Raw genomic sequence first — 24252 nt, forward strand, 5'->3', positions numbered from 1 at the left:
ACATGAAGGAGAAGAAAGAAGGGCGTGGAGAGCTGTTCTGAACAGGCCAAGGGTCTTCTTTCCTCAGCATATTTTAATGGAAGCCAACAACTGTGCTAGGCCCTGTGCCAGGAAGTGGTGTGCTAGAGACACTTTTCCCTGTCTGGTGAGAATTAGAGAAGACAGGGGCCTGGTCCTGGCAAGGGGAGGAGTATCAGGGAAGCCATTCTAGAGGGAGCAAATCCTCAACACCAGACACTCTAATGTCCAAATGGGTGTGGTGCATTTTGGAAACATCCTTAGATCAGCGTGACTGGGGCTCTGAGCAATGAAAACAGATGGAATTTAACTGGGGATGGGGCAAAGGACTGCTAGGTTTTCTTTCTTAGTAAGTCTTTTTTTTTTTTTTTTTTTTTTTTGAGACAGCAGGCTCACTCTGTCACATAGGCTGGAGTGCAGTGGCACAATCTCAGCTCACTGCAACCTCTGCTTAGCGATTCTTCAGGCTCAGCCTCCCGAGTAGCTGGGACTACAGGTGTGCACCACCATGTCTGGCCAGAATGCCAGAATTCCAAAGGATTTATGCAGATACTTCACCCTCAAGGAAGCAAAAACTCCCACCCCTTAAGTGCAGGGTGTGTAGGTGTGTAGTGACTTCCTTCCAAACAGTACAGCATGGAAAGGAGGGAAAAGAGTAACTCTGTAGTGGAGAATCCTGACAAGCACTATCTTGGTCAGGTGATCAGTCATGATGATAAATCATGTTGATAGTGTGTATCCTCGATATAATAGAGAGGTGTTGATAATGGTTCTTTATCTCCCCAAACCATAAATAGCCCTAGTCTAAACATGAAAAAAAATTAAATGAATTCCAACAGAGAGCATTCAACAAAATACTTGCCTAGTACTCAAAATTATCAAGGTAATCAAAAACAAGGAATATCTGAAAAACTTAAAAACTGCCAGTCAAGAGCAGTCCAAGGAGACATGACGACTGTTTTTCCCTATACATAACCTGTGATAAAATTTAATTTATAAATTAGGCCCACTGTGAGATTAACAACAATAATAATATAGGACAGTTATAACAACAGACTGTAATAAAAGCTATGTAGGCCAGATGAGGTGGCTCATGCCTGTAATCCCAGCACTTTGGGAGGCCAAGGCAGGCAGATCACCTGAGGTCGGGAGTTCGAGACCAGCCTGACCAACATGGAGAAACCCTGTCTCTACTTTTAAAAATACAAAATTAGCTGGGCATGGTGGCACATGCCTGTAATCCCAGTTACTCGGGAGGCTGAGGCAGAAGAATCACTTGAACCCGGGAGGCGGAGGTTGTGGTGAGCCGAGATAGCGCCATTGCACTCCAGCCTGGGCAACAAGAGTGAAACTCCGTCTCAAAAAAAAAAAAAACAAACAAGTTATGTGAGGCTGGGTGCGGTGGCTCACACCTATAATCCCAACACTTTGGGAGGCTGAGGTGGGCAGATCACCTGAGGTCATGAGTTGGAGACCAGCCTGGCCAACATGGTGAGACCCCGTCTCTACTAAAAATACTAAAATTAGCCAGGCATGGTGGTGGGTGCCTGTAGTCCCAGCTACTCGGGAGGCAGAGGCAGGAGAATTGCTTGAACCCAGGAAGTGGAGGTTGCAGTGAGCCGAGATTGCACCATAGCACTCTAGCCTGGGCAACAGATCAAGACTCCATCTCAAAAATAAATAAATAAATAAAAGTTAGGTGAATGTGTTCTCACTCTCTCAAAATATATTATTCTATTATCCACACCTATTTCAGACTGCTATTGACTGCAGGCAACTGAAAGCCCAGAAAGCAAAACTACAGATAAGGGGGAACTGCTGTACTTCAAATGGACACAGGCATCAATGAAAAAGCCTCCGGCAGGGCACAGTGGCTGATGCCCATAATCCCAGCACTTTGGGAGGCCGAGGCGGGCAGATCACAAGGTCAGGAGATCGAGACCATCCTGGCCAACATGGTGAAACCCGTCTCTACTAAAAATACAAAAATTAGCTGGGCGTGGTGGTGCGCCCTTGTAGTCCCAGCTACTCAGGAGGCTCAGGCAGGAGAATTACTTGAACCAGGGAGGCAGAGGTTGCAGTGAGCCAAGATTGCGCCACTGCACTCCAGCCTGGTGACAGAGCCAGACTCCGTCTCAAAAAATAATAATAATAAATAAAATAAAATAAAAAAGAGAGACTCTAGTGGCCCAAACAGGAACAATCTGAGTAATAATATAAAGTAGTATTGGTGGGTTCTGGAAGTTAAAAATAAATAAATAAAAATAGACCTGGCGCGGTGGCTCATGCCTGTAAACCCAGTACTTTGGGAGGCCGAGGTGAGTGGATCACTTGAGGTCAGGAGTTCGAGACCAGCCTGGCCAACATGGTGAAACCCCGTCTCTACTAAAAATACAAAAATTAGTCAGGCGTGATGGCACGCGCCTGTATTCCCAGCTACTTGGGAGGCTGAGACAGGAGAATTGCTTGAACCCAGGAGGTGGGGGTTGCTGTGAGCTGAGATTGCACCACTGCACTCCAGCCTGGCCAACAGAGTGAGACTCAGTCTCAAAAAAAGAATAAATAAATAAATAAATAAAAAGGGAAAAAAGAAAAAAATGTCCACAATTCTCTACTGATATAAATAAATAGGAAAGGGGTGAAAAAAAAACACTACATTTGAGAATCCTGAAGAACACTCCTTCAGCCAGGTAATCAAAAGTAAGATCAATAGTGTTAAGTCAAGCTGATATGCACCTTCATATAGTATGATGAGAATGTAGTGTGGAATGCTGGATGAGATCCTGTTCCAGAAAAAGGGCATTCAAACTAAGGGCTGGGCACACTGGCTCACACTTGTAATCCCAGCACTTTGGGAGCCCAAAGCAGGCAGGTAGCTTAAGCTTAGAAGTTCAAGACCAGCCTGGGCAACATGGGAAAACCATCTCTCTACAAAAAAAAATACAAAAATTAGCTGGGCGTGGTGGTGTGCACCTGTAGTCCACGCTACTTGAGGGGCTGAGGCAAGAGGATCGCTTGAGCCCAGGAAGTCAAGGCTGTCAGGCCGGGCCTGGTAGCTCACACCTGTAATTCCAGCACTTTGGGAGGCCGAGGCGGGTGGATCACCTGAGGTCAGGAGCTCAAGACCAGCCTGGCCAACATGGTGAAACCCATCTCTACTAAAAATACAAAAATCATTTGGGCATGGTGGCGCATGCCTGTAATCCCAGCTACTCAGGAGGCTGAGGCAAGAGAATCGCTTGAACCTGGGAAGTGGAAGTTGCAGTGAGCCGCATCAAGCTACTGCACTCCAGGCTGGGTGACAGAGCGAGACTCTGTCTCAAAACAAAACAAAACAAAAAAAGGCTGCAGTGAGCCATGATTGAGCCAGTGCACTACAGCCTGGGCTACAGAGTGAGACCCCGTCTAAAAAGAAAGAAAGAAAAAAAAAACACTAAGGAAATTTGAATAGAGTATGAACTTTAGTTAATAATAATATGTCAATATTGGTTCATTAATTTTAACAATGGCACCATACTAATGTAAGATATTCATACTAAAGGAGACTGCACATGAGGTATATAGGAACTCTCTGATCTATCTTCTCAATTTTTCTGTAAATTTTTATTTTATTTATTTATTTTTTTGAGACAGAGTCTCACTCTGTCGCCCAGGCTGGAGTGCAGTAGCACGATCTTGGCTCACTGCAAGCTCCGCCTCCCGGGTTCACGCCATTCTCCTGCCTCAGCCTCCCGAGTAGCTGGGACTACAGGCGCCCACCACCACGCCCAGGTAATTTTTTTTGTATTTTTAGTAGAGACAGGGTTTCACCATGTTAGACAGCATGGTCTCGATCTCCTGACCTTGTGATCCGCCCGCTTCGGCCTCCCAAAGTGCTGGGATTACAGGCATGAGCCACTGCGCCCGGCCTGTAAATTTTAAATTATTTCAAACAGAAAATCTTTTTTTTTTTTTTTTTAATAGAGACAAGTTCTCACTATGTTGCCCAGGCTGGTCTTGAACTCCTGGACTCAAGTGATCCTCCTGCCTCAGCCTCCCAAACTGCTGGGATTATAGGTGTGAGCCACTGCACCCAACCAGAAAATTTATTTTTAATTAAGTCAATTAAATCATTCCTTTTAATCTTGGTCTTAACTAAGTCAACAATTACTACTGGTAGTTAACTTGTATAGAGCATTTTGTATTGAGGCACAGCTTTGGGTGATTTGCATAATATGCTATTATACTCACAATACTCACCTTACAAATATAGAAACTGAGACATGAGAGAGCTCATTCATGCAACTTTTAACAACTGTTTATGAGTGAGTTAGTGAGTGTCCTGGAAGAGTGTGCCCATGGTCTGGGCTCCTCCACGGAGTGCCCTGCAGTTGTCTCATGTGCCACTGTCCAGGTTGAGCTCAATCAAGTGACCCCACCCCTCTTCACCGGGATCCTCCTCCTTGACCATTATGTCACTGCCACCATCTGCCAGGTCTCCCCAGGAGTCATCCTGCACTCTTCTGTCACTTCTCAAATCTAACTTGACACCAAGTCCTGGGGGCCCTTCTTCGGAAAGTTCTCCCCAGCCTATGTTCTTTCTCCTGTTTGGGTCCTCACTGCTTCTCCTTTGCCTCTGCTCGGGTCTCATCTGCTCTGAGGGGATCTCCACCTAAGCCACCACCCATTTTTCCAGAACCCACATCATATACTCTCTCAACCCCAACCAAAACCTTCCCATGGCGCATTGAATAACTTTGCAACCTGGCCACAGCCCGCCTCATTCCCTCCACTCCCTAGCACTCCACCGTTGTACCCCAAAATCACACTGCTTGCAGGCCATTGCTGTTTTCTTTTCCTTTCCTTTCCTTTTTCCTTCCTTCTTTCCTTTCTGTTTTTCTTTTTTTGAGGCAGAGTCTCACTCTGTCACCCAGGCTGTAGTGTAGTGGCACAACCTTGGTTCACTGCAACCTCTGCCTCCCAGGTTGAAGCGATTCTCCTGCCTTAGCCTCCCGAGTAGCTGGGACCACAGGCATGCACCACCACACCTGGCTAGTTTTTGTATTTTTAATAGAGATGGGGTTTTGCCACGTTGGCTAGGCTGGTCTCAAACTACTGGACTCAAGTGATCCTCCCACCTTAGCCTCCCAAAGTGCTGGAATTACAGGTGTGAGCCACCGTGCTCAGCCCTGCTCTTGGTTTTCTTGAGGACTGCATAATACCTTCTCTTTTTGCCCTTAGAGGTCCTACATGCTCTTCAAGTCTTAGGTCAAATTCAACTGCTTTCTTACACAGATCCTCTCTCTCATTGGCTTAGCAGTCACCTGTTACCTGTCTCATGGTAACTGCTACAATGACTCTGAGGACTAGAGGCTGGTGCGTATGTCTCTAGCTGTGAGTTCCCTAAGGCACCTCTGTATCTTCATGCTCAGAAATCACTGGGTTATTTCCTGCAGTTTCTATCAAAGCAAAATGTCCACACTGCATCATTAGGGGCCCCCAAGTGGCCAGAATAAGAAAAGCCAGCTGGGCGCAGTGGCTCGCACCTGTAATCCCAGCTACTGGGAAGGCTGAGACAGGAGAATGGTTTGAGCCCAGGTGTTTAGATGAGCTATGATCACATCACTGCACTCCAGCCTGGGTGACAGAGCAAGATCCCATCTCTAAAAAGAGTTCTGAGGGATCCAGAGAGGCTTCAGGAAGGAGGAGGACTTGAGAGAGACTGTCAGATGAAAGTCACATTTAGAGTTTATTAAGCACATGCTCCATGTTGGGCATTATACTATAGCAGTGAGCTTTCACGTGGATCCCTCATTTACTTCTCAGCACAGACCTACTAGGTAGGTATTTGTCTCTGTAGATGAGGAAACTGAAGCTAAGAGCATCAACTGTGCAGTGTCACAGCTAGCAAGTGGCTGGGCAGGGATAAGAGATACAGCTTGCCCTTGGAGATCATACATGCACTTCAAGTCTTGGGTCAAATTCAGCTGCTTTCATACAGGAATCCTCTCTTTTGATGCCCTAGCAGTCATCCCTTACCTGTCTCATTGCAACTGCCACACTTGATTCTGTGGCTCTCAAAGAATCCAAAGTCCAGCCTAAGAACTGAAGAATGAGTAGGTGGAAATGCACTGTGGTAATCAACGCATAAGGGAGACTGTACTGAGTCTGCCACAAACAGGGTCCACCCAGGCCTATCCCATACATCCCGGAGAGCCATGGAGCCCAACAATGGGGTGCTGGGGTCCCTGAGGCTGTAGCTGGAAGTACTCTGTGTCCCTAAGGCAGCACTCCTATGCTGACCTCCAACTGCTAATGGGCTCTGTGCAGCAGGGACAACCCTCTGCACAGTCCAGACCTGAGGGCAGATGGCAGGTGACCTGGGGGTGAAGTGTTATGTATGGAGCAGGGCAGCTCCCTGTCTGGGATCACTTTTCTTAGAGGAAGCCTCCTGCCTATTGTCCTGCTCCTGCACTTCCCTCCTGGGACCTGGCAACCTCAGGTGGGAAGGCTGCATTGAGGCTGCAGGCTTGGTCAAGAGAAGCAGGACCCTGGTGCGAAGGGAAATGAGCCTGGACAGCATACTTGTCACCTGCCCCAGGACTAGTGCCCCTCCAAGCCAGAGAGCCCAGATAGCCCTCAGTGGGGCTGGTGAGAGTCACAGTTCTCCGCACGTGGCCAGGAAGTTGAGCAAGAGTAACCCAACCACATAAGGTATGGTGCAAACCTGGAAACTTCTGAGAGCAAAGGGATGCTCTTAGTTGTTAGGCGGGGGCCGCCCAGCAGAGCCAGGACGGTGGCGACCCTAGTCCAGAGCCTTCCACTTTAGCAAGGTAGAATCCAAGGGCCCCAGAAGGGAACAGACTCCATCTGGGTCGCCTAAGCAGGTGAGAGAGGAAAACCCAACCACAGTCGCGCCCCAGCCCTCGCAGGTCCCTGGCTGAGGACTCCCCTCTCCACCTCAGGCTGGGCGGCCCCCGCCTTCACGCTTGCTCCCACTTGTCCCTCGTTCTTGCTAGGCTTGGCAGGTATTTGTTCCCTGCTCCTTCACGCTCTCAGTGCCGTGGCCACGTCGCTGGGTACGCCCCACCAGGCAAGAGACATTTTCCGTCTTGTTCTCTGCCACGTCCCCAGAGCCTGGAACAGTGCTTGGCACAGAGTGGACGCTCATTCGTGGAGTAAGTGCCTGATGGATAATCCATCACTTGCTTTTCTAGTATGAATGGTCTATTTACGGGTCCAGCGCCCCTGCTGGCTTACGACCTTTTCCAGGGCGGGGAGGGGCTGTCCTCATCTCTGTGACCCCAGCGCCCAGCCCAAGGCCTGGCACAGAGTAAGTGCTCAACCACATTTTGGTGAATGAGTGAATGGAAGCGGCCCAGCAACCCTGAGCCAAGGAGCCACTGTGGGGCAGGTCAGGGCGGTTCCTGGCACAGGGCTTCCCACTAGCCTGGCCACCAGCTCTGCGGTCTCCTGGAAGCTGGGGGGCCTTTGGGTAAGGGAGAAGAGTGGCCAGGAGTTGTCTGCGTGTGCCCTGTGACGGTGGGATAGAGACAGCGATTGGATTGAGGAACGGGAGGTTCCCCGAGGCTGTTTAGAGAGGCGGGAGCGGGAGCTGGTCAGGGAGGCTGGACAGACCACCCGAGGGAGCGGAGCTTGGGCACGAAAGCCAAAACTGGGCGGCGCGGGGCGGGTGGGGAAGGCCGGCTGAGAAAGCCGGGATTGCCTCCTGGTGTCAAAGCTCGGAACTGCAGCAGGATCCTGGGGGCGGGGCTTGTGTTCAGCAGCACTCGCCACGCGCCCAGCCCTCAGCCCTCGTCTCGCCTTCTGCTGGCTGGCCCGGCGACGTTGTGCGCCAGCGTACGCGGGGCTCTGAGAACCCGGAAGTTACGTTTTAGGCCCGCGTCACGGGGGCGGGAGTCAGCTGAGCTGCCGGGGCGAGGTTGGGATCACCTGGCACCGGCTGAAGGGAGCCTGTGATTTTTTTGTAGCGGGGGCGGGGAGTAAGGTGCAAGACTGCGCCAGATTCAAGGACGAGGGCTGCCCGATTATCTCGCTGCATAAGGCAAGAGCAAGAGGATCCTCAGGATTTTAAAGAGGAGGCGACGGCTGCAGGTTCCCAGGATCTGTCAGAGGCTGGGGAGTTACAGCTTCCATTCTGGGGCGACGGGGACCCCGGGGGGGTAGCCCTTTTGTAATCCCCAGGCCCCGGACAAAGAGCCCAGAGGCCGGGCACCATGGCGTCCATCCTGGATGAGTACGAGAACTCGCTGTCCCGCTCGGCCGTCTTGCAGCCCGGCTGCCCTAGCGTGGGCATCCCCCACTCGGGTAAGGAAGAGGAGGGTGCCGCTGCCCCTTTCGGCTCTCCTAGCATTTGCGTGGGAGCAGCGAGGAGGGCAGCTCCAAGAGCTCGGGGTCATCCCCTGGGCCGTGCCTTCCGGGTCTAGGCCCCTGATTCTCCTCAGGCTCTCTTGGCCCCCAGCTGGTGGATAGTCGAAGTTTGAAAGAGCAACGGGAGCTGCCGCGTGATCTAGGCTCTACCGCTAGGGTCCTTTTGAGAGGGAATTGGGGCCCAGATAAGGAATTACTCACCTACAGGGCGCAGTTGGGCTGTTGGGAGAACTTAGAATGGGCTCCCGGCTTCTGCTGATGCTTTTCCCACCAGGCCCCTTCTGGAGGTGGGAGGGAAGGAATGGACAAAGAAAGTGGTGAAGGCGGAGTATTGCAGAGGAAGAAGGGAGGGTCCCAGAGGGAATTTTGTCGCTGAACGGGGAAAATGGAGATGAAATCTTTTTGGCCTTGGCTATAGCTGGGTGCAGCCTGGAGTTTGGGGACGTTTTTGTAGAAAGTAGTGAGTCTCCAGGAGAATGAGGGCATAGGGAGCCCTGGGGAACTGTTCCAGTGAGTGGAGTTAACGAATTGGAGCTGCTTTCACTCTAGTCTTTACCTTCATTCAATGCTCAAAATATCCCAGCACTTGCCAACTCTACACTGAGGCTCATTACCGCATGGGCAGGGAGGGGGGCAGAGAATGGGGCTATACTACTTCAGTTAAGCTGGGATTGCTGGGCCAAAGACCTGATAAGGGAGAATACCCAGACCACCAGTCCCGTCCCACCTCCACGCAGCCCCATTACCAGTGGGAGCAGGTATATCATGCTGTGACAGCATCTTAAGGGTTCAAAGAATCAACCCCTCACTGCTGTCAGAGTGTGGAAAGAGCTCCAGACCTCTATTGTAAAGGTGACCAGCAAACGACTTGATATCAAACTATTTGTTAACCAAGGTCCTGGGGATAGGAATATGTCAGGAAAGTGGCGAGGAGCACTGTGGTGTTTTTTCTGCCTCTCCTTGCCCTTCACCTGTCTCTTCCACAGCTAATCTTCTTGTCATTCCTTACCTGTAGGGTATGTGAATGCCCAGCTGGAGAAGGAAGTGCCCATCTTCACAAAGCAGCGCATTGACTTCACCCCTTCCGAGCGCATTACCAGTCTTGTCGTCTCCAGCAATCAGCTGTGCATGAGCCTGGGCAAGGATACACTGCTCCGGTAATCAAGAGCTCACAGAGCTTAGGAGTAGGGACTAGAGAGGTGTTTGGGGACTGTTAACTCACTGGGCCTTTCTTCTATTCCAGGCAAGTAAAGCAGTGAATTTGGAGTTTTCAGGAAATATCCTATCCCTTTCCAAAGAGAACCAATACAGGGTAGTGGTTAAGTATCTGGCCTGGCAGGGCATGGTGGCTCACACCTATCATCTCAGCACTTCGGGAGGCCAAGACAAGAGGATCACATGAAATCAGCAGTTTGAGACCAGCCTGGGCAATATAGTGAGACCCCCGTCTCTACCAAAACAAATTTTTAAAAATTAGCTAGGTGTGATGGTGCAGTCCCAACTACTGGGGAGGCCGAGGCAAGAGGATCACTTGAGCCCAGGAGTTCAAGGCTGCAGTGAGCTGTGTTTGCACCACTGTACTCCTGTCTCTTTAAAAAAAAAAAAAAGTCAGGTGCAGTGGCTCACACCTGTTATCCCAGCACTTTGGGAGGCTGAGGAGGGTGGATCACCTGAGGTCAGGAGTTCGACACCAGCCTGGCCAACATGGTGAAACGCTGTTTCTACTAAAAATACAAAAGTTAGCCGGGCGTGGTGGCAGGCGCCTGTAATCTCAGCTACTGGGGAGGCTGAGGCAGGAGAATTGCTGGAACCTGGGAGCCGGAAGTTGCAGTGAGCTGAGATTGCACCATTGAACTCCAGCCCAGGCGACAACAGTGAGACTCCATCTCAAAAAAAAAAAAAGGAAAAGGAAAAAAAAAAAAACTGTTTAGGAGTGTAGACTTAAGAGTATTAGAGTATTGATTAGAGCATTCTTGTGGTGGGAAAAACTGGATCCATGCTGAATGCTCATCAATAGGAAAATGGTGATTAAACTGCAATTCAGCCACAAAATAGAATATAATGCAGTTGTTTAAAAAAATGAATTATCCTGGCTGGGCGAGGTGGCTCACGCCTGTAATCCCAGCACTTTGGGAGGCTGAGGCAGGCAGATCACCTGAGGTCGGGAGTTCAAGACCAGCCTGGCCAACATGGAGAAACCCCTTCTCTACTAAAAATATAAAATTAGCAGGGTGTGGTGGCAGGTGCCTGTAATCCCAGCTATTTGGGAGGCTGAGGCAGGAGAATGGCTTGAACCCGGGAGGCAGAGGTTGCAGTGAGCCGAGATCATGCTCACTGCACTCCAGCCTGGATGACAAGAGCAAGACTTTGTCTGAAAAAAAAAAAAAGAGTTATCCTGGAAAGCTGGGTTTGGGGGTAAAAACAAAAAAAGTTAGAGCTATATCGATTGACTAGTGGAATGTTCATGAAATATCATTAATTTAGAAAATTTACAAATTAAGACACATACACATATGTGCAATATGAAGGCATTTTTATAATGACAGCAACAAAACCACCCTATTTATGTTATGAGTATGAAAAAAGATGTTAACATGAATTTTCTCAGTTGGGAATAACAGGAGTTTGAGAAGAAAATTAAGTCATTCTTTATACATCTTTGCATCGATTCTTTAGTTAGAACAAGCATATAATTTGGAAAGAATTTCATAAGGAAAATATAAACAGGAGTACTTCTCAAGGTTTTTGTCAAGATTAATTGAGATAATACTAGATTGATGAAGCTCTTGGCATGGTGCTTGGTATATAAAAGTGCCCAGTAACTATGAGCTACTCTTTGTTGTTCCCTTCTTACCTCAGCAATCTGGGATATCTCTGCCTATCTTCCCAGATGCACTGGAGATCTTTTTGTTTTCTTCCTTCAAGTCTGATTCTTTTTTGAGCAGAGGGGAAAAACTTCTCCTTAGTGATTTCTCAAAATAAGGTGAGGGAGCTTGCAGAGCTGAGAGGGTTTTTGTTGTTGTTGTTTGTCTTTTTTCTTTTCTTTTTCTTTTTATTTTTTTGAGACAGAGTCTTGCTCTGTCACCCAGGCTGGAGTGCAGTGCCTCGATCTCGGCTTACTGCAAGCTCCGCCTCCCGGGTTCACGCCATTCTCCTGCCTCAGCCTCCCCAGTAGCTGGGACTACAGGCGCCTGCCACCGCGCCCGGCTAATTTTTTGTATTTTTAGTAGAGATGTGATTTCACCGTGGTCTCAATCTCCTGACCTTGTGATCTGCCCGCCTTGGCCTCCCAAAGTGCTGGGATTACAGGCGTGAGCCACCGCGCCCGGCCTTTTTTTTTTTTTTCCCCCCTTTTTGTGGAGAACACGGTCTTGCTATATTGCCCAGGCAGGCCTCAAACTCCTGGGCTCAAGCTATCCTCTCGCCTCTGTGCCCCTAAAAGCTGAGATGACAGGTGTGAGCCACTGCACCTGGCAAGAGAGTTCTTAAGTAGGGCCCTGTATATTTTTCAGGGCTACTCCATAGGCAGAGCTGCTGTATTCAGCAATTTCTTTTTTTTTTTTTTTTGAGATGAGGTCTCACTCTGTTGCCCAGGTTGGAATACAGTGGTGTAGTCTCAGCTCACTGCAACCTCTGCCTCCCGGGCTCAGGTGATCTCCCACCTCAGCCTCCCAAATAGCTGGGACCACAGGTGTGTACCACCACACCTTGCTAATTTTCTTGTATTTTTTGTAGAGATGGGATTTCGCCATGTTGCCCAGTCTGGTCTCAAACTCCTGAGCTCAAGCAATCTACCCACCTCGGACTCCCAAAGTGCTGGGATTACAGGCTGAGCCAGTGCACCTGGCCTGTATTCAGCATTTTATGCATAGATGTATATTTCAGGGAAGTAAGTCTATGGCTTTTATCAGATTATTAAAGAAGATCATGATCCAAAAAAGGATCTTCCCTTCTCTAAAGTGATGGTGACGCTTGTCCCCACAGCATTGACTTGGGCAAGGCAAATGAGCCCAACCACGTGGAGCTGGGACGTAAGGATGACGCAAAAGTTCACAAGATGTTCCTTGACCATACTGGTAAGTAACAGTGGAGATCTGAGGAGGGGGTCTCTGGTCAGTCACTGCCTGGGTGGGTGGGCTCTGAGGGTGGTGTGGGGGCCAGGAGGAGGCTGAGGATGGGAACGGCAGCATCCACTGGGGCGCCATGCTCTCCCCACTCCAGGCTCTCACCTGCTGATTGCCCTGAGCAGCACGGAGGTCCTCTACGTGAACCGAAATGGACAGAAGGTACGGCCACTAGCACGCTGGAAGGGGCAGCTGGTGGAGAGTGTGGGTTGGAACAAGGCACTGGGCACGGAGAGCAGCACAGGCCCCATCCTGGTCGGGACTGCCCAAGGCCACATCTTTGAAGCAGAGCTCTCAGCCAGCGAAGGTGGGCTTTTCGGCCCTGCTCCGGATCTCTACTTCCGCCCATTGTACGTGCTAAATGAAGAAGGGGGTCCAGCACCTGTGTGCTCCCTTGAGGCCGAGCGGGGCCCTGATGGGCGTAGCTTTGTTATTGCCACCACTCGGCAGCGCCTCTTCCAGTTCATAGGCCGAGCAGCAGAGGGGGCTGAGGCCCAGGGTTTCTCAGGGCTCTTTGCAGCTTACACGGACCACCCACCCCCATTCCGTGAGTTTCCCAGCAACCTGGGCTACAGTGAGTTGGCCTTCTACACCCCCAAGCTGCGCTCCGCACCCCGGGCCTTCGCCTGGATGATGGGGGATGGTGTGTTGTATGGGGCATTGGACTGTGGGCGCCCTGACTCTCTGCTGAGCGAGGAGCGAGTCTGGGAGTACCCAGAGGGGGTAGGGCCTGGGGCCAGCCCACCCCTAGCCATCGTCTTGACCCAGTTCCACTTCCTGCTGCTACTGGCAGACCGGGTGGAGGCAGTGTGCACACTGACCGGGCAGGTGGTGCTGCGGGATCACTTCCTGGAGAAATTTGGGCCGCTGAAGCACATGGTGAAGGACTCCTCCACAGGCCAGCTGTGGGCCTACACTGAGCGGGCTGTCTTCCGCTACCACGTGCAACGGGAGGCCCGAGATGTCTGGCGCACCTATCTGGACATGAACCGCTTCGATCTGGCCAAAGAGTATTGTCGAGAGCGGCCCGACTGCCTGGACACGGTCCTGGCCCGGGAGGCCGATTTCTGCTTTCGCCAGCGTCGCTACCTGGAGAGCGCACGCTGCTATGCCCTGACCCAGAGCTACTTTGAGGAGATTGCCCTCAAGTTCCTGGAGGCCCGACAGGAGGAGGCTCTGGCTGAGTTCCTGCAGCGAAAACTGGCCAGTTTGAAGCCAGCCGAACGTACCCAGGCCACACTGCTGACCACCTGGCTGACAGAGCTCTACCTGAGCCGGCTTGGGGCTCTGCAGGGCGACCCAGAGGCCCTGACTCTCTACCGAGAAACCAAGGAATGCTTTCGAACCTTCCTCAGCAGCCCCCGCCACAAAGAGTGGCTCTTTGCCAGCCGGGCCTCTATCCATGAGCTGCTCGCCAGTCATGGGGACACAGAACACATGGTGTACTTTGCAGTGATCATGCAGGACTATGAGCGGGTGGTGGCTTACCACTGTCAGCACGAGGCCTACGAGGAGGCCCTGGCCGTGCTCGCCCGCCACCGTGACCCCCAGCTCTTCTACAAGTTCTCACCCATCCTCATCCGTCACATCCCCCGCCAGCTTGTAGATGCCTGGATTGAGATGGGCAGCCGGCTGGATGCTCGTCAGCTCATTCCTGCCCTGGTGAACTACAGCCAGGGTGGTGAGGTCCAGCAGGTGAGCCAGGCCATCCGCTACATGGAGTTCTGCGTGAACGTGCTGGGGGAGACTGAGCAGGCCATCCACAACTACCTGCTGTCACTGTATGCCCGTGGCCGGCCGGACTCACTACTGGCCTATCTGGAGCAGGCTGGGGCCAGCCCCCACCGGGTGCATTACGACCTCAAGTATGCGCTGCGGCTCTGCGCCGAGCATGGCCACCACCGCGCTTGTGTCCATGTCTACAAGGTCCTAGAGCTGTATGAGGAGGCCGTGGACCTGGCCCTGCAGGTAAGCCAGTACGTCTTGACCCCAGCTGGGAGAGGGACCCAAAGAGCAGTAGCTTTAGATGTGGAAGGGCTTGGGGGGCCATGGCTAGAGGGTGCTGGCTTCCCTTGCAGAGAGGGAAGGTTAAGAGCATGGACTGTTAAGTCAGATTTGAATTCTGGCTATGCCACTTACTAAGCTGTGTGACCTTGGGTTAGTTTCTGAACCTCTCTGTGCTCAGATTATTTGGCCACAAAAGGGGGTCAGTGTTATAGTACATTTACCTCATAGGGTTGATAAAGTTCTGTGTATGAAAAGTACGCAGGGCTGGGTGTGGTGGCTTGCGCCAGCACTTTGGGAGGCCGAGGTGGGCGGATCACAAGGTCAGGAGTTCGAGACCAGCCTGACCAACATGGTGAAACCCCATCTCTACTAAAAATGTAAAAATTAGCCGGACATTGTGGTGCATGCCTGTAATCCCAGCTACTCAGGAGGCTGAGGCAGGAGAATCGCTTGAACCTGGGAGGTAGAGGTTGCATTGAGCTGAGATCACGCCATTGTACTCCAGCCTGGGTGACAGAGCAAGACTCCGTCTCAAAAAAAAAAAAAGAAAAAGAAAAGAAAAATACTCGGGGCCGGGCGCGGTGGCTCATGCCTATAATCCCAGCACTTTGGGAGGCCAAGGTGGGTGGATCACCTGAGGTCAGGAGTTCGAGACCAGCCTGGCCAACATGTCGAAACCCTGTCTCTACTGAAAATACAAAAGTTAGCTGGGCGTGGTGGCACGCACCTGTAATTCCAGCTACTCAGGAGGCTGAGGTAGGAGAATCACTTGAACCTGGGAGGAGGAGGTTTCAGTGAACCAAAATCGCACCACTGCACTCCAGCCCGGGCAACAGAGTGAGATTTTGTTTCAAAAAGAAAAAAAGAAAAGTACTTAGAACACTGCCTGGTACATGCACGTTAGCAGAAGAGGAGGGTGCTGCATCGCATGAAGTGCTATTTAACATGCAGTTCCTAGGCCTGAACTCAGGACTTACTGAATCAGAATGTCTGGGGGCAGGGCTCAAAAATTTGTATTTTGAATATGTTTCCCAGGTGATTTCTTTCTTTCTTTCTTTCTTTCTTTTTTTTTTTTTTGAGACGGAGTCTTGCTCTGTTTCCCAGGCAGGAGTGCAGTGGCCCAATCTCGGCTCACTGCAAGCTCAGCCTCCCAGGTTCACGCCATTCTCCTGGCTCAGCCTCCCGGGTAGCTGGGACTACAGGCGCCCGCCACCACACCCGGCTAATTTTTTTGTATTTTTAGTAGAGACGGGGTTTCACTGTGTTAGCCAGGATGGTCTCGATCTCCTGACCTCGTGATCTGCCTGCCTTGGCCTCCCAAAATGCTGGGATTATAGGCCTGAGCCACTGCGCCCAGCCTCCCCGGTGATTTCTAACTTCACTAAAATTGGAGCCCTACTACTCTAAGTAGCTTTTACATAGCTGTGGCAGCGGCAGGCCCCCTTGCTTCCAGGAGTGCTGGGAATCCTGCCTCGGGGCCTCTCCTCGGCCATCTCTCTCTCCCATAGTCTCCATGTTGGGCAGGGAGGGGCTTGGCCCTAAAGCCCATGCTCTCCCCACAGGTGGATGTGGACCTGGCCAAGCAGTGTGCAGACCTGCCTGAGGAGGATGAGGAATTGCGCAAGAAGCTGTGGCTGAAGATCGCACGGCACGTGGTGCAGGAAGAGGAAGATGTACAGACAGCCATGGCTTGCCTGGCTAGCTGCCCCTTGCTCAAGATTGAGGATGTGCTGCCCTTCTTTCCTGATTTCGTCACCATCGACCACTTCAAGGAGGCGATCTGCAGCTCACTTAAGGCCTACAACCACCACATCCAGGAGCTGCAGCGGGAGATGGAAGAGGCTACAGCCAGTGCCCAGCGCATCCGGCGAGACCTGCAGGAGCTGCGGGGCCGCTACGGCACTGTGGAGCCCCAGGACAAATGTGCCACCTGCGACTTCCCCCTGCTCAACCGCCCTTTTTACCTCTTCCTCTGTGGCCATATGTTCCATGCTGACTGCCTGCTGCAGGCTGTGCGACCTGGCCTGCCAGCCTACAAGCAGGCCCGGCTGGAGGAGCTGCAGAGGAAGCTGGGGGCTGCTCCACCCCCAGCCAAGGGCTCTGCCCGGGCCAAGGAGGCCGAGGGTGGGGCTGCCACGGCAGGGCCCAGCCGGGAACAGCTCAAGGCTGACCTGGATGAGTTGGTGGCCGCTGAGTGTGTGTACTGTGGGGAGCTGATGATCCGCTCTATCGACCGGCCGTTCATCGACCCCCAGCGCTACGAGGAGGAGCAGCTCAGTTGGCTGTAGGAGGGTGTCACCTTTGATGGGGGGTGGGCAATGGGGAGCAGTGGCTTGAACCCACTTGAGAAGGCTGCCTCCTAGGCTCTGCTCAGTCATCTTGCAATTGCCACACTGTGACCACGTTGACGGGAGTAGAGTAGCGCTGTTGGCCAGGAGGTGTCAGGTGTGAGTGTATTCTGCCAGCTTTTCATGCTGTTCTTCAGAGCTGCAGTTATGCCAGACCATCAGCCTGCCTCCCAGTAGAGGCCCTTCACCTGGAGAAGTCAGAAATCTGACCCAATTCCACCCCCTGCCTCTAGCACCTCTTCTGTCCCTGTCATTCCCCACACACGTCCTGTTCACCTCGAGAGAGAGAGAGAGAGAGCACCTTTCTTCCGTCTGTTCACTCTGCGGCCTCTGGAATCCCAGCTCTTCTCTCTCAGAAGAAGCCTTCTCTTCCTCCTGCCTGTAGGTGTCCCAGAAGTGAGAAGGCAGCCTTCGAAGTCCTGGGCATTGGGTGAGAAAGTGATGCTAGTTGGGGCATGCTTTTGTGCACACTCTCTGGGGCTCCAGTGTGAAGGGTGCCCTGGGGCTGAGGGCCTTGTGGAGGATGGTCGGTGGTGGTGATGGAGGTGGAGAGCATTAAACTGTCTGCACTGCACTGGTGGCTTTGTGTCGATGCTGGGCCGAGCGGTGTGTGAGTGATCTCCAGGCGGGGCTGGAGTGTCACAGGGAGGCTGCCAGGCCCTACATGCCCCCACACCTTGGCACGCAGTCCTTCACCTTGTCCGCCAACTCTGCCTCTCCAGGGCTCATTGGGGATTGCAGCCAACCAACCTGAATTGTGAAGCAGGGGCTGTTCTTCCCTTTGGCCAGCAGATGGTGCTGCTCCCCACAGAATCCTTGGCTTTCCGGCAGCTGGGAGCAGTGATTTCTGTCACTCTATTAGTGCTTGCTTCCTCCCTACTTGTCGCAAGAATTTTCTTGGAGTCGCCCGGGCATGGTAGCTCACGCCTATAATCCCAGCACTTTGGGAGGCTGAGGTGGGCAGATCACAAGGTCAGGAGATCGAGACAATCCTGGCTAACACGATGAAACCCCGTCTCTCCTAAAAATACAAAAAATTAGCCGGGCGTGGTGGCAGGTGCCTGTAGTCCCAGCTACTCGGGAGGCTGAGGCAGGAGAATGGCGTGAACCCGGGAGGCAGAGTTTGTGGTGAGCTGAGATTGCGCCATTGCACTCCAGCCTGGACGACAGAGCAAGACTCCATCTCAAAAAAAAAAAAGAATTTTCTTGGAGTCTCCACTGTCTAACCATAACTTCAAGCCCCTCATTCTTCCTCCCTCGAGTAGCCCTCAGGCATGCTAGATTTTGCTTGCCCCTCTGCCAGCTTGGATCCCCGCCTTCCCAGCTCCTGCCTGGCTTTAAGATGGCCCTGCCACTATCTGCCATTTAACCACAACGTTGAGGCCCAGCATGAAGGTGAGACTGCTGTGGCCTGTATCCATGGCATTTGGCAGACATGTTTTCTCATCTTGCTCCTGTGACCTGCTCCTCCCCACAAATTACACATCTTTAGTTGTGGCTAAATCCTAGGGAGTCCTGGAATGGGGTCTCCCCGTGACATCAGCAGAGCACCCTTTGCCCCATGGACCGGTGTTCACAGTGCACTGCCCAGCTCTCTGGGTGTGATCTGTCAGCTGGCAAGACAGTTCCTGCAGTCAGGCCAACCTCGCTGGCCACTGCAGGCTGCTTTCCCCTCCAGTCTAATCCTCTTCCTAGCCAGGCATGGGGTCTCACACTTGTAGTCTTAGCTACTTGGGAGTCTGAGGAAGGAGGATGGCTTGAGCCCAAGAGATGGAAGCTGCAGTGAATTATGATTGTGCCACTGCACTTCACCTGGGTGACAGAGCAAGAACCCTCTTTTTTTTTTTTGAGATGGCGTCTTGCTCTGTCACCAGGCTGGAGTGCAGTGGTACAATCTTGGCTCACTGCAACCTCCGCCTTCCGGGTTCAAGGATTCTCCTGCCGCAGCCTCCCTAGCAGCTGGGATTACAGGTGCACATCACCACGCCTGGCTACTTTTTTTATTTTTAGTAGAGACGGGGTTTCACCATGTTGGCCAGGCTGGTCTCGAACTCCTGACCTCAAGTGATCCGCCTGCCTCAGCCTCCCAAAGTGCTAGGATTACAGGCATGAGCCACTGTGCCCAGCTAGAACCCCTCCGCCTTTTTTTTTTAAAGAATTTTATCTCTGGCAATACAGGTTGAACTTTGCTGCAGAATTCCCTAACCACTAAAACAAGAGGATCTCTTCATGGACTCTGTTAGCTGAGAGGGCTGGAAGCTGCCCATTTTTGATGACCCCTCAGACTCCCGTCTTCCTCCAGAAGCAGAAGTGGGAGCAGATGTGGGGGAGGGGTCCCATTGAGTAGAGGGCATCCTAATTCTGTTCTTCGCACTGTCCCAGGAGGTTTGGAGGGCTCCTGCTTCCTTCTCCCCATGTGGCCTAGGCTCCCCTTACACCTACCATAGTCATCTGAGGGCTCAGGGTCTTTGTCCCCTGACAGTGAGTATAAAGCTTTAGCCTACCTCTGAAGGGGTCACTTTCTTAGAGAAAACAGACTGGGGCCTCTGTCTTTGCACATAATGGGTGCCTAATACTTGTTAGTTAAACAAACACTGCCCTATTGCTCCCTGCTCCCAGAGGGCTTGGCTAAAGCAGCTTGGGACACCCCTGCCCCTTCTGTCTTCTCCTAAGCCAGCCCATCTGGTCCTAGGCTGCTTCCTCTTTCCTGGGAAAAGGCCCCAGGCTTCCCTGGCAGGGACAGAATAGGGTTCCGGTGAGTCAGGGCAACGGGAAGCCACAGCTCTTAGATCCCTGGAAGCCAAGCAAGACATGGAATGGAGAGCAGAGCGGAGGCCCTCAGGGCTTTGGCCCTAAGCCTGGAGGGCCAGAGGGGGGTGGGGTGGGGGAGCAGCTGCGTGGGCAGGGGCCAAGATGAATGAGCTACTCCTGGAGCGGTCACTGGAAATAGAAGGAGTGGCCACAGGCAGTGACGCTGGGACCAGGGCAGGAGGCCTGTAAACAAGGAAGCCACCTGGGGGAGACGCAGGGCGGCCACTGGTCCTGGGGAGCAGGTGCTTCCTGAGGCCCGCCCTGGAGAGGGCCCTGGGGGCCGCCCCGCCGAGTCTGCAGTGGGCACTAGGGGGCGCCGTCTACCGGCTTCCCGAGCCCACCGCTCCCTACCCTGGCTCCTGGGGGTGTGGCCGCCGGAGGGTGTGCCGGCCCAGAGTCCCAGGCCCTGCCTGCCCGGCCTCTCCCTCCCTTCTCCTGTCACCGCGGCCGACTGGCCAAGGGCACCAGCCCTGGAGAGGGCACAGGGCTCAGCGTGGCCAGCTCGGATGTGAGCTCATTCCCCCGAGACCACCAGTTCTAGTTCCTGCCCCTCCCCCAAAGGCTCGGGTCGCAGGCTGGTGCCTGGCACCCACCCCAAAGGTTGGGAGGGGGCTCGAGGCCATCAGGCTCCAGGCCGCACTTGGCGCTGCCCCCTGGCGCCAGGGAAACAAAGGTTAGGGGCCCAGAGGGAGTTATCTGGCCCCACCGCCACCGGGTGGGGGAAGGGGACCAAGAGGGGGCGCAGTTCCCCTCCACTCCCCCAGCCCTACTGATTCTTCGAGACACTTTCACAGGCGGAAATTCCCAGAGGTCAGAGGAGGGAAACGGTTAATTCCTTTTATTCAATGGGTCCCCCCTACACGCCTCCCCCCAACTTCCTCCCTCCACTTCCCGCCCCCCCCTGTGTGAACAGGAAGTGGAGAGGAAAAGGCTCTGAGCGGAGCAGCTGGGAGCAGGAGGCAGGGAGTGGGCGGCGGGCTTGGTGCCAGCCCTGCCCCTCATGCTTACTTGCCGGAGGGCCAGGCCAACCGCGGCCTGGGAAAGAACCTGCAGCCCCGCTGGCGAGTGGCAGTTGAACCGGGAAACAGCAAACTCCATGCCCTCTTTCCTTAACCTGCTCCCAGGTTACAGGCTGCTGTCCTCAGGGTGCCAGACATCTTCTGCTCAAGAGCCAGCTGCCCTGGCCACCACAGCCCCACCTCCACCACCAGGCTGGGCATCCCGAGGCTGGCAGGCATCTCTTCAGGCAGCCGCCAGTCCTGGCACTGGCTCCCCCACTCAGCCCCTTGGCCCTGCCAGCCCTTTGAAGCTCATGCAGCGCTTCCTGTTTGGGGCGGGCGATGCCAGGGCCCCTCCCCCACCATTGTTCTGGAGAGACCATAGGTCCATCTGTTGCCCCATGGTGGGGCCCCTAGGCAGTGCCACACGGGAGCAGCACCACAAAGGACGCTGCTGGCAGCTTTGCTTATGTGGGGTGAGGCTGGGCCCTGCAGCAGGTTGAGGGTGAATGGTGGTCAGAGGCAGGCCTGGGGCGGGCACTGGGATAGGAGGATGCTAGAAAGTTCTGGTGCTTGGGCAGCTGGAGCCCTCAGCTTTCTCCTCCACCTGGAGCATGGAGATGATATTCAGGGAGCCATACGTGCTGAAGCCACCAGGAGAGGGCCACCATTCTCATGCCTGGATTCCCAAAAGGAAAACTGAGGCAGAGGGGCAAACTTTGGTCCAGGATGGCCAATAAAAGGGTCACAAAATAGGGTTGTCATTTCAAGGGGATTGGCCCCACTCTCTGAATGCCCAGTAATTGGGTGCTTTCCTCTCCCTGAGCAGCTTTACCGTGGCTCAGCTTTCACCTTGAACCAGCCCTTACTGAGCAGTCAGAAACCATACCGTGAGGTCAGGAGAGGCTGCGCGGCCTTAGTTTGGTGGCCAGCAACCCATGTCCACTGAGAATAAGCTTGGGCAGAGAAAAGGGAAAGGGGCACTGGTCTGGCCCCCCGGAAGGTGGCTGCTGCTTCTGGTTCCCAGGCTGCTGTGGCCAAAGGTCTGTTTGTGTTTGCCAGGTGCAGAGGCAGGTGGCTGCAGCTCACCTTCCCTCCATGGCATGATCTCCCAGCTCTGACCCTTGACCTGTTCCCTCGCGGCATCTCCACAGGGCTAGAAGGTGAACCCTACTTCCTTTACCAGGTCCTCTGGTTTCTCTTCCCAGGCCAGGACCTAAACCGTTCACAACTCCCAGCAGGCCAGAGCTGCAGAGACCTCAGATAGAGACTATAAAGTGCTGTGGAAGCCTTGTTCAAATAAAAACATTCATGAATGTCCAGTACTTGAAATTGGTATGCTGAGATTCTCCGATGGAAACTGGGCTGGAGGGACCCACACTCCTGTTCACTCAGCCTGTTCTCCACTCCTATCTCAATGTCTCTCTCTCTGTTTTTTTTTTTTTTTTTTAATAGAAACAACACCTTGTTCTATTGCCTAGGCTGGAGTGCAGTGGCGCCATCATAGCTCACTGCAGCCTTTAATTCCTGATCTCAAGTGATCCTCCCACCCCAGGCTCCTGAGTAGCAAGGACTACAGACACCACACCTGGCTAATTTTTATTTCTATTTTTTGTAGTGACGGGGGTCTTGCTAGGTTGCCAAGGCTGGTCTTGAACTCCTGACTTCAAGCAGTCCTCCCACCTCAGCCTCCTAGGGTGTCCGGATTACAGGCATGAGCCACTGTGCCCGGCCCCCTATCACGATATCCATAAGATGCCAGGATGCCCAGGAACCGAGTTTGAAAGACATTGTGCTGCTGATCCCACCTCCTGACTTTACAGCTGCTGAATTGCAGAAGACAAATTGGTAGCTAACAGGAGGCTCCATCCTGGATCCTGCCCCTGTCCGTGAGATTCAGCCTTGATTAACTGTGTTCCCATGCTGGTCGTGAGCAGGGCACCATCCTAGGTCCTTCTTTATACTCATTTTCCATCTCCAGCCAAAATGGGTTGAACCGAGGAACAAGGACATAATCTGTAAAGAGCAAGTGCAAGTCTCTGCTCTGCCATTACCAGCATCAGGCTAATCAAGCCCTTGGAAACTCAATTTCTTCTCCTGTAAAATGTGAATAACTGTTACAGACCTGGAAAGGCTCTTGTGAGGCTGAAATGAGAGCGGTGCCGCCCATCTGTCAAGGTAGCCCAGGGCCTGGCGCCCAAGCAGCCCTGGGCACTTGCCCCTCTTCCCTTTTACTCTGCACCTCCTTTCTGTAGGCGTAGGACCCTGAGACCTGTCCCAGCTCATCCCTCACAAGGCCCTCTGACTTCTTCAGATATCAGAGTGGAATTGGAAGAAAGAAGCTTGCTTGAGTAGGTTTTTCTGGTTTCTTGAACAATGGCGATTCTAAGGAAAAGAGGTTCAGGATGAGAATGAGAGGAAGCCCACAGGCATGTAGAATATGGCCACAGGTGGGACAAGAGTGCTTCCTTGGGATGGGGGTCCTGGTTCCCTGAAGGAAAGGAGACAGGGCACTACTCCAGCTCCAGGAGTCTCATAGGACAGGCCAAGAGGGCTGGGCAGACACCATGCTGGCCGCTGATCAGGCATGACTCCTCTGCCAGCCTGCCCTCGCAGGCCAGCCCAGAACTTGCACAACAGTCGGCCTGGCTGGCACTCTCCCGGGAGCTTCAGGAAGTCCCCCTTGTCCTCCCCTTGACCTTTGACCCCTTGGGCCTGCTGCCGACCAGAATACCAGGCAGATGTTCTCTCTTTTACCTTTTGTTCCTGGTCTTTCCCTCTAAGGCTGGAACTCAGAGATACCCCAAACCCCCAGCTTCCAGCTCATCCTTCCCCATGCTCTCAGTGCGGACCAGCTGGAGCCTCCACTGGGCCGCTCTCCATGTGAGCCAGTGTGGATCCTTGGCCACAGCCGGCAGGACGCTTGCAAGTGCCCCGACTCCAGACATCCTCCCAGGTGTCCTTCCCGACTAGCTCCCTGTCCCAGGCCCCAGCAGGTGAAGCAGGAACAGCAGACAGAGCCTCCTTCCCTCCCCGGCATCCTCTGAACAGTCAAAGTTGGAAGAACCCTAGATATTGTTCCACATTAAACTATGCACGCCTCGTGGCACTCAGTTTCACAATCAAATAACTCCCTCTGGTTTTCTAGTGGAATTTCTGCTTTTATTTTATAGGGTTTCTTGGCTTCTTTTTTTTTTTTTAAGCAATCAGTCTAAATTTGTCATCACACATCCCCCATTTCCGCCCCTAAGGGCCTCCTTTTCATCCCCTGGAATCTGGAAACCATATGTGTGGGCAGAAACCCCCCAGCATCCCCCACTGCACCCTGGCCCAGCCTGGCCTCCGCAGGGATAACCGTGTTAGCTGGGGAAGAGTCTACACTCCACACTGGGGCTAGAAAGGGAGTTTCTCTTTGGACCTTCCCAGCTGAAGCCATGGAGAAGCCGTGTGGTCTAGTGGTTAGGGCTAGAACAGATGGGTTCTGTTCCCGGCAATCTCTTTGACTAACACCAGAAGCCTGGGAAAGTCCCCTTAACACCTAAGGGACTCAGTTTCCCCACCATCTGAGGGGCTCAG

At 53.0% G+C, this 24252-nt stretch overlaps 1 protein-coding gene and 1 long non-coding RNA gene across 3 annotated transcripts, besides 10 other annotated features; both read left to right on the plus strand.

Moving 5' to 3' along the window:
* Positions 4143 to 4192: a silencer, noted in NCBI's record as "silent region_6346". NCBI's record gives its function as "represses an Ori minimal core promoter by ATAC-STARR-seq in GM12878 lymphoblastoid cells {active_cell/tissue: GM12878}" and the evidence as "EXISTENCE:reporter gene assay evidence [ECO:0000049][PMID:35858748]".
* Positions 5461 to 5510: a silencer, noted in NCBI's record as "silent region_6347". NCBI's record gives its function as "represses an Ori minimal core promoter by ATAC-STARR-seq in GM12878 lymphoblastoid cells {active_cell/tissue: GM12878}" and the evidence as "EXISTENCE:reporter gene assay evidence [ECO:0000049][PMID:35858748]".
* Positions 7632 to 7801: a silencer, noted in NCBI's record as "silent region_6348". NCBI's record gives its function as "represses an Ori minimal core promoter by ATAC-STARR-seq in GM12878 lymphoblastoid cells {active_cell/tissue: GM12878}" and the evidence as "EXISTENCE:reporter gene assay evidence [ECO:0000049][PMID:35858748]".
* Positions 7916 to 17441, plus strand: VPS18 (VPS18 core subunit of CORVET and HOPS complexes). Of its 2 annotated transcripts, NM_020857.3 has the most exons (5): positions 7916 to 8325; positions 9404 to 9545; positions 12373 to 12464; positions 12610 to 14480; positions 16082 to 17441. In NM_020857.3, exons 1-5 carry the CDS (start codon positions 8235 to 8237, stop codon positions 16805 to 16807), a joined length of 2922 nt encoding a protein of 973 aa, NP_065908.1. In that variant the 5' UTR covers positions 7916 to 8234; the 3' UTR covers positions 16808 to 17441. The 2 variants fall into 2 exon arrangements, with proteins under 2 accessions (NP_065908.1, XP_011520145.1); XM_011521843.3 differs by lacking the exons at positions 7916 to 8325; positions 9404 to 9545 and adding an exon at positions 12174 to 12277.
* Positions 8642 to 8731: an enhancer, noted in NCBI's record as "active region_9270". NCBI's record gives its function as "activates an Ori minimal core promoter by ATAC-STARR-seq in GM12878 lymphoblastoid cells {active_cell/tissue: GM12878}" and the evidence as "EXISTENCE:reporter gene assay evidence [ECO:0000049][PMID:35858748]".
* Positions 19637 to 19931: an enhancer, noted in NCBI's record as "tiled region #6315; K562 Activating non-DNase unmatched - State 12:CtcfO". NCBI's record gives its function as "activates a minimal TATA promoter and a strong SV40 promoter by Sharpr-MPRA in K562 cells {active_cell/tissue: K562}" and the evidence as "EXISTENCE:reporter gene assay evidence [ECO:0000049][PMID:27701403]".
* Positions 19637 to 19931: a silencer, noted in NCBI's record as "tiled region #6315; HepG2 Repressive non-DNase unmatched - State 4:PromP". NCBI's record gives its function as "represses a minimal TATA promoter and a strong SV40 promoter by Sharpr-MPRA in HepG2 cells {active_cell/tissue: HepG2}" and the evidence as "EXISTENCE:reporter gene assay evidence [ECO:0000049][PMID:27701403]".
* Positions 19637 to 20200: a biological region, named in NCBI's record as "Sharpr-MPRA regulatory region 6315".
* Positions 19861 to 20200: a silencer, noted in NCBI's record as "silent region_6349". NCBI's record gives its function as "represses an Ori minimal core promoter by ATAC-STARR-seq in GM12878 lymphoblastoid cells {active_cell/tissue: GM12878}" and the evidence as "EXISTENCE:reporter gene assay evidence [ECO:0000049][PMID:35858748]".
* On the plus strand, positions 20275 to 22817 carry LOC105370943 (uncharacterized). The gene is made up of 2 exons (NR_135836.1): positions 20275 to 20351; positions 22295 to 22817. It is a non-coding gene; the product is annotated as an uncharacterized LOC105370943 (long non-coding RNA).
* Positions 20851 to 20910: a silencer, noted in NCBI's record as "silent region_6350". NCBI's record gives its function as "represses an Ori minimal core promoter by ATAC-STARR-seq in GM12878 lymphoblastoid cells {active_cell/tissue: GM12878}" and the evidence as "EXISTENCE:reporter gene assay evidence [ECO:0000049][PMID:35858748]".
* Positions 21121 to 21250: an enhancer, noted in NCBI's record as "active region_9271". NCBI's record gives its function as "activates an Ori minimal core promoter by ATAC-STARR-seq in GM12878 lymphoblastoid cells {active_cell/tissue: GM12878}" and the evidence as "EXISTENCE:reporter gene assay evidence [ECO:0000049][PMID:35858748]".
* Positions 22818 to 24252: the final 1435 nt, after the last annotated feature.

Source organism: Homo sapiens, chromosome 15 (genome assembly GCF_000001405.40).
Source record: "Homo sapiens chromosome 15, GRCh38.p14 Primary Assembly".
NCBI classification, from domain to species: Eukaryota; Metazoa; Chordata; class Mammalia; order Primates; family Hominidae; genus Homo; species Homo sapiens.

What these genes read in the sequence shown, in the direction of transcription:
- VPS18 (NM_020857.3), top strand. Translation starts at nt 8,235, where the DNA reads ATGGCGTCCATCCTGGATGAGTACGAGAACTCGCTGTCCCGCTCGGCC. An exon ending in GGCAAGGATACACTGCTCCG is followed by an intron (nt 9,546 to 12,372) that starts GTAATCAAGAGC and finishes TTGTCCCCACAG; the next exon opens with CATTGACTTGGGCAAGGCAA. An exon ending in GATGTTCCTTGACCATACTG is followed by an intron (nt 12,465 to 12,609) that starts GTAAGTAACAGT and finishes TCCCCACTCCAG; the next exon opens with GCTCTCACCTGCTGATTGCC.